Genomic DNA, 8,341 nt, shown 5'->3' on the forward strand with positions numbered 1-8,341 from the left:
TACTACATCACTGTACTGTCATCTATAATAATTTATTCTATGTCCAAAATCTTACCTATTTTCTTTTCTGCTGGCCTGTTGATAAAAATGTATTTTGTTTTGTTTGTTTTTATGCTGTCCAGTGATTTCAAACTTACATTACACACCACAATTACAGTGTTAAAACATTCTCTTTTGTGTGTATATACTTACTATTACCAGTGAGTTTTGTACCTCCAGATGTTTCCCTATTGCTTATTAACATTGCTTTCTTTAAGATTGAAGTACCCCTTTAGCATTTCTTGTAGGATGGGTCTGGTGTTACAAAATTCCTCAGCTTTCGTTTATCTGGGAAAGTCTTTATTTCTGCTTCAGATTTGAAGGATATTTTCACCGAATATACTATTCTAGGGGAAAAGTTTTGTTTTGTTTTGTTTTCTCCTTCAGCACTTTAAATATGTCATGCCATTCCCTCCTGGCCTGTAAGGTTTCCACTGAAAAGTCTGCTGGCAGAGGTATTGGAGCACCATTGCGTGTTATGTGTCTCTTTCCTCTTGCTGCTTTTAAGATTCTTTCTTTATCCATGACCTTTCAGAATCTAATTATTAAATGCCTTCAGGTAGTCTTCATTGAGTTAAATCTTCTTGATGTTCTATATACTTCTTGTTGAATATTGATATCTTTCACTAAGTTTGGTAAATTCTCTGTTATTATCTCTTTGAGTAAACTTTCTACCCCTATCTCTTTTTCTACCTCCTCTTTAAGGTCAATAACTCTTAGATTTGGCTTTTGGATGGTACTCTAGATCCTGTAGTTTTGCCTCATTTTTTTTAAATTTTGTACCCTCTAACTGTATGTTTTCAAACAGTCTGTCTTTAATTTTACTTATCCTTTCTTCCTCTTGATCAATTCTCCTATTCAAATACTCTGATGCATTCTTCAATATGCCAGTTGCATTTTTCAGCTCCAGAATTTCTGCTTGATTCTTTATAATTATTTCAATTTCTTGTTAAATTTCTCTGATAGAATTCTGAATATCTTCTCTGTGTTATCTTGAATTTATTGGAGTTTCCTCAAAACAGCTATTTTGAATTAACTATCTGAAAGGTTACATATATCTATTTCTCCAGGATTGGTCCCTGGTACCATATTTACTTAATTTAATGAGGTCATATTTTCCTGGATTGTCTTGGTGCTTGTGGATATTCTGTGTCTGGGCATTAAAAAGTTAGATATATATTGCTGTTCTTTGTAGTCTGGGCTTGTTAGTACTCATCCTTCTTGGGAAGGCTTTCAGATCTTCAAAAGAACTGGGTGTTACGATCTAAGCTGTATCTGCTTTTGGCTGCACCACAAACCCTGTAATGCTGTGGTCCTTGCAGACTCATAGAGGTACCACCTTGATAATAATAGACAAGATATGGAAGAATTATTTAAATTCCAGAACTCTTACTTTTTTCCCTTACATTCTCCCAAACAAATGGATTCTATCTCTCTACTCTGAGCCACCTGGATTTAGAGATGAAGTGAAATAAGCACTCCTGTGTGCACCATCCGTAGGACTGTGCTGATTCAATCCCGAAGGCAGCACAGCACTGGGTCTTCCCCAAGGCCTGCTATAGCTACTCCTTGGCTAACACCTATGTTTGCTCAAGGGTCTGGGGCTCTGTGATCATCAAGTGGCAGCAATCACTGGGAACACCCATGTCCTTCCCATCAAGGCAGTGTGTTGCCTCAGGCTCTTAGTGGGCCACAAGTGATATTCAGGAGCTGGGGACTAGAGTCAAAATTCTTAGAAGTCTACCTGGTGTTCTATTGTATTGCAGCTGAGCTGGCATTCAAGCCACAAGAAGCAGTCTTTCCTACTGTTCTCTCCCCTTTCTAAAGGCTGAGGAGCTTCACTCTGTAGCTACCACCACTACCACAGGCTCATAAGAAGTAATTTTAGACTACTGCCAGTGTTCTATTAAGGCCCGAGGGCTCTTCGGTCAGCTTGTGTGAAGACTACCAGGCCTTGGACTCACCCTTCAGGGCAGTGGGCTCTTCTCTGGCCCAGGGCAGGTCCAGAACTTCTGTCCAATGGTCAAGTCCTGGAATCAAGGGTCACAACAGCCTTTTTGGTGCTCTACCAAACTGTGGCTGAGCAGGTACCTGAGGTGCAAGACAAAGTTCTCTTTACTTTTCCCCACACTTTTCTCATGCAGGTTTCACCCCACAGCCACCACAGCTGGTAATGTGCTGAGTCTCATCTGAAGCCAGCCACTTTCAGATTCTCACCCCAGGCCCTCAACATAGTACCTCAATATCATTGCTGGTTATTCAGAGCCCAAGGGCTTTTCAGTTGGCAAGGGATGAATTCTGCCAGGAGTTCATTCTTTCTTTCAAGGCAGTGGGTTTCCTTCTGGCCCAGGGTGTGTCTAGAAATGTCGTTTAGAAAGTAGGGCCTGGAAAGGGGGCCTCAGAACTCTGCTTGTTGCCTGATCCTGCTGTGGTTGAACTAGTATCCAAGAGGCAAAACAAAGTCCTCCAAAATCTTCCTTCTCCATTCCTCAAGTGGAAGGAAGGGGTTGTTTTGGGGCCATGAGATTGCAGCCTAGGCTTAGGGGAGGAATTATGTCAGCACTCCCTTAGTCATGCCCAGCTGGTATCTCAGCAGGTCATGTACACCCCCAGTCCACTGTCTCTGGGCTCAGTTCAACCCTAAGAGTCATTTGGTATTTGCATTATTTGTGACCTAGACTGCCTTCCAAGTTTATTTAGCATACCATAACAGTTTAGCTTAAAGTGATTAGGCTGCAGGAACTCTAGTTCTGATTGCTGGGTTTGGCAATTCCCTTCTGGCTATGGATGGTTTAAATGCTTCCTCTATGGCAGACAACAAGTGAGTTTGGTCCTATTTTGCCTTCTGCTGTAATAAGGCAGCATTGAGTTCAATGTCTCACAATTGCTGCACTCTCCTTATTTGCAGTACACAGCTTTCTGCACTAAGCCACTGCTGCTGTGGGGTCGGGGGAGGAGTGGCATCAGCGATTCAAGACTATTTTAATTGCTTCTTCAATGCCACGTTTAGCAAAACAAAGGTAAAAGAAGCTACTGTAAGTGCTCACCTGATTTTTGATCCTGATTTTTCGTTCTTAAAAATGTGTTTGTTTGTTTTTTGCATATAGTTGCTAAATTGGTGTTTTTGCCTGGAGGACAATTGTTGCAGCCTTCTATTCTGCCATCTTGTGTCAACCTCTTCCACCTAGTTGTTATATAAATTAACTGCCTAGTATTTAAGGAAATAATGGGCAATGGAACTGATTAGACATTTATTTGTAGTTTTCCTTTATGTTAAGCATGTTAGTCATTGTCTAGACTTTGTAACATATCTTCCTGAATTCTTTTTGGATCCTATGGTGTCACACATTTTAACTGTTGCATCATTGCATTCTATTTTCCTTAAAATATTCTGTTCAACATAATATGCTGTAGTAAAATATCAAAGCCCACTGCAGACTAACTCATTTATGAACCTAATATCTATAAACTGTCATCTTTATAGAAAGTCTAAGAATACAAATTGCATTGCTCAATAAATAACAGGTGTGCTCATGTTAGAGTAAGGACAAATTTAAGGGAATTATTTGTCAACTTTGGATCAATAAAGTTTTCAGAGGTGATCACAGATGCCACATTATCAAGGCTATGCAAAATAAGTATATACCAAAGAATATATATTAACAAGGATAAGTTTCATGCGCGTCTGTGTGAAGAGACCACCAAACAGGCTTTGTGTGAGCAATAAAGCTTTTAATCACCTGGGTGCAAGCGGGCTGAGTCCGAAAAGAGAGTCAGCTAAGGGAGGTAGGGGTGGGGCCGTTTTATAAGATTTGGGTAGATAAAGGAAAATTACAGTCAAAGCGGGGTTGTTCTCTGGCGGGCAGGAGTGGGGGTCACAAGGTGCTTATTAGGGGAGCTTTTGAGCCAGAATGAGCCAGGAGAAGGAATTTCACAAGATAATGTCATCAGTTAAGGCAGGAACAGGCCGTTTTCATTTCTTTTGTGGTGGAATGTCATCAGTTAAGGCAGGAACCCGCCATCTGGATGTGTATGTGCAGGTCACAGGGGATATGATGGCTTAGCTTGGGCTCAGAGGCCTGACAATAAGTTCACAGGATTGGTCAGTTACTGAAAATAGAAAGAGAATTGGAGAGTATCCTCAAAATCTCTTATTTTAAGTTTAGGAGAAATATAGTGTACATGAAATTCCTCTGGCAGATGTAAAATAATGAATGATTTGTATCTAGTCAAATAAAAGATCTGGACTTTATATTGAAGATATTGTAGATGAGCATAAGTATATGTAAATATAGCTCAATTCTGCTTAACAGCTGAGTTACCTTATATGTTGAGGGTTAGACAGAATAAATAACTCCGTTTTGGAAAAATAACTTTAGAATTGATCTGGATAGAGACACAAAAGTCAGTGAGAAGAAAAACAAAACTTTATTTCTGATATAACTGATCATAAGAATGGACTTTACAACTCACTATAGTTACTTTCTTTATTTTTACTCCAAATGTAGATTTACCCATTCAGATACAAACAGAGCTAAAATATTGCTGATCAAACTTATGGCAGCAGACCCTTAATTATATGTCAGCAAATCCACAAAAAGATAGTTTGTGTAGACAAGCATTTTAAAAAAATACCTAGACAGGGTTGTGTCATACCTACCAGATTCCTTCCCACAAATTACTCCCATATAATTCTCTCCTTTGTATCTGGGGAAAATTGAGAAAGTTAGACCTGAGACTAATGGAGTAATTATATTATATTTTCTTCCACATGACAATATGTGTGAAGTAATTTGTTCTTTTATATACTAATTTTACTTTTACTGTTCTGTTTATGTTTTATTTTTATGTAAAGAAGAAGATATCTTATTTCACATTATAAAATAAAATATAAAAAGAACAGTAAAATTAAAAATAGTATATATGAGAACAAACTGTTAGCAACTGGGCCTTTATACATGTTATTACTTCTCTCTAACATGTTACTTCCTAACAGTATTCAGTTCATAGATTTCCATGAAAACATTATTTGTTAAGGGAAGTTTCCTGGAAGGGACTGGGACTTTATCTTTAGTCTCCTCAATCAGAGTAACTATTAGCCAAGAATTTTCTATTCAGCAAAACTAAGATTCATAAATGAAAGAGAAATAAAGTTTCTCCTAGACAAGCAGGTGTTGAGTGCATTTGTCACCACTAGACCAGCCCTATAAGAAATGCTAAAAGGAGTTCTAAATATCTAAAGAAACGTTCAATATGCACCAGCATAAAACACTTAAAAGCATAAAACTCACAAGGCTTACAAAATAGTAATACAATGAAGAAAACAAAGCAGCTAAGTAACAATCAAAAGTATGACTGGACCATTACCTCATATAGCAATATCAATGTTAAATGTCAATGATCTAAATGCCCCACTTAAGAGATACAGATTGGAAGAATTGATATAAAAAAAAAAGCACAAACCAAATAGCTGTTGTCTTTAAGGGATTTATCTAACTCATGGAGATTGTTACAGACTTGAGGTGAAGAAGTGAAAAAAGCGTTTCATGCAAATGTTAATCAAAAGTGAGCAAGAGTATCTATTCCGATATCGGATAAAAAAGACTTTAAAGCTATAAGAGTGAAAAAATACAAAGAATGTAATTATATAATAATAAAGGCATCAATTTAACAAGAAGATATAACAATCCTAAATATATATGCATCTAACTCCAGAGCTCCCAGAATTATACAAATGCTACTAGACCTAAGAAAGTAAATAGACAGCAACACAATAATAGAGGAAGACTTGAACACTGCACTGACAGCACTAGACAGATCATTGAGGCAGAAAGTCAATAAAGAAACACTGGATTTAAACTGGACACTAGAACAAATGGACCAAATAGACATTTGAAAAACATTCTACCCAAAAACTGCAGAATATACATTATTTTCATCTGCACATGGAACATTTTCCAAGATAGATTATATGATAGGCAAGACAACAAGTCTTAGTATACATTTTTTTAAAAATCAAAATTATGCCAACTGTCTTCTCAGGCCACAATGGAGTAAACCTGGAAATCAACTAAATAAGGAATCTTTAAAACTATACAAATACATGGAAAGTAAACAGTATACTCCTTAATGACCTTTGGGCTAACAATGAAATTAAGATAAAAATTTTAAAAGTTTTCAAAATGAATGTTAACAGTGATGTGAGTTATCTAAATTTTGGGGATGCAGCAAAAGCTGTGTTAGAGAAAAGTTTATAGTAATAAATGCCTGCATAAAAACAGAAAAATTATAAATTGACAATTGATAGGTTTTGGCTCTGTGTCCCCACCCAAATCTCATCTTGTAGCTTCCATAATTTCCACATGTTGTGGGAGGGACTCGATTAGGGATAATTGAATCATGAGGGCAGGTCTTTCCCATGCTGTTCTTATAATAGTGAGTAAGTATCACAATATCTGATAGTTTTAAAAAGTGGGAGTTTCCCTGCACAAGTTCTCTCTTTGCCTGCTGCCATCCATGTAAGACTTGACTTGCTCCTCCTAGACCTCCACCATGATTGTGAGGTCTTCCCAGCCATGTGGAACTGTAAGTCCATTAAACCTTTTTTCTTCTCAGTCTTGGGTGTGTCTTTATTAGCAATGTGAAAACAAACTAATACAACACTCTAATATCTCACCTTGAGGAACTAGAAAAACAAAAACAAACCAATCCAAAACTAGCAGAGGAAAATAATAGCAAACATCAGAGTGAAACTAAAAATAATTGAAACAAACAAGAAAAAAACATACAAAGGATCAATGAAATAAAATGCTGGTTCTTTGAAAAAATAAAATTTGTAGACCATTAGCTAGATTAACCCAAAAAAGAAGAAAAAGGATTCATAAAGCTTAATCAGAAATGAAAAGGATACTACAGAAATAAAAACAAAGTTCAAGACTATTATGAATACCTTTATGCATACAAACTAGAAAATCTAGATGAAATGGAACATTTTCTAGAAACATGCAATTTCTAACCTTAAGGAAGAAATAGAAATACAAAATGGATCAATATTAGGCAGTGAGATTGAATCAGTTATACATATAAAAAAAAAACTCCCAAGAAAAACAAAAGCCCAGGACTGGACAGACTCATAGGAATTTATGCCAGACATTAAAAGAAGAATTGGTACTAATTCTACTGAAATTATTCTAACATTTTGAGAAGAGGAAATCCTCCCTGTTCCCACAAACCCAGTATCATCCTAATACCAAAAGCAGGACAAGACCAAGCAAAAAAAGAAAACTGTAGTCTAATATTACCGATGGTATGGTTTGACTTGGTTGAATTATAATTCCAATGTGTCAAGGAAGGGACCTGATGGGAAGTAATTGGATCATGGTGGCAGTTTCCACCATGCTGTTATCATGACAGTGAGTGAGTTCTCACAAGAACTGATGGTTTTAAAGTGTGACATGTTCTTCTTCTTACTCTCTCTCTCTCCTGCCACTTTGTGAAGAAGGTGCCTGCTTCTCCATCTTCCACCATGATTGTAAGTTTCCTGAGCACCCCCCCACCACCAGCCATGTGGAACTGTGAGTCAATTAAACCTTTTGTGATTATTAATTACCCAGTCTCGGGTAATATCTCTATAGCAGTGTGAAAACAGACAAATATACCCGTAAACATAGGTGCAAAAGTCCTCAACAAAACTCTAACAAACCAAATACAAGGGCACATCAAAAAGATAATTCACCATGGTCAAGTGGGTTTCATCCCAGGGATGCAATTATGGTTAATGTGCACAAGTCAGTAAATGTGATTCACCACATAAACAGGATTAAATAAAAAATATATGATCATCTCAACAGAGAAAAAGCATTTGATAAATTCAACATCCCTTATTGATAAAAACACTAAACAATCTCACCGTAGAAGGAATACTCATCCAAATGATAAAAGCTGTATATGACAAAACTTTTAGCCAAAAGCATACTGCACAAGAAAAAATTGAAAGAACCCCCACTAAGTATTAAAAGAAGACTATAATGCCCACTTTCACCACAAAGAATTGAACACAGTACCAGAAATCCTAGCCAGAGCAGTCAGTCAAGAGGAAGAAATAAAGGCATTTAAATTGGAAAAGAGGAATTCAAACTATCTGTCTTTGCAGATGATATAACCTTATAAATAGGCAGCCCTAAAAACTCCTCCAAAAGACTCCTAGATTTCATAAATGAATTCAGTAAATTCTTAGGTTACAAAAAGAATGTATACAAATCAGTGGTACTGCTATACAGCAATAATGGCTAAGCTGAAAATC

General features: G+C 36.9%; 1 annotated feature.

Moving 5' to 3' along the window:
• Window positions 2,723–3,314: an enhancer, noted in NCBI's record as "OCT4-NANOG hESC enhancer chr4:64849662-64850253 (GRCh37/hg19 assembly coordinates)". NCBI's record gives its function as "activates a minimal SCP1, AML or CMV promoter by ChIP-STARR-seq in primed H9 embryonic stem cells {active_cell/tissue: H9 hESC(primed)}" and the evidence as "EXISTENCE:reporter gene assay evidence [ECO:0000049][PMID:30033119]".

The sequence above is a fragment of the Homo sapiens genome, chromosome 4 (assembly GCF_000001405.40).
Source record: "Homo sapiens chromosome 4, GRCh38.p14 Primary Assembly".
NCBI classification, from domain to species: Eukaryota; Metazoa; Chordata; class Mammalia; order Primates; family Hominidae; genus Homo; species Homo sapiens.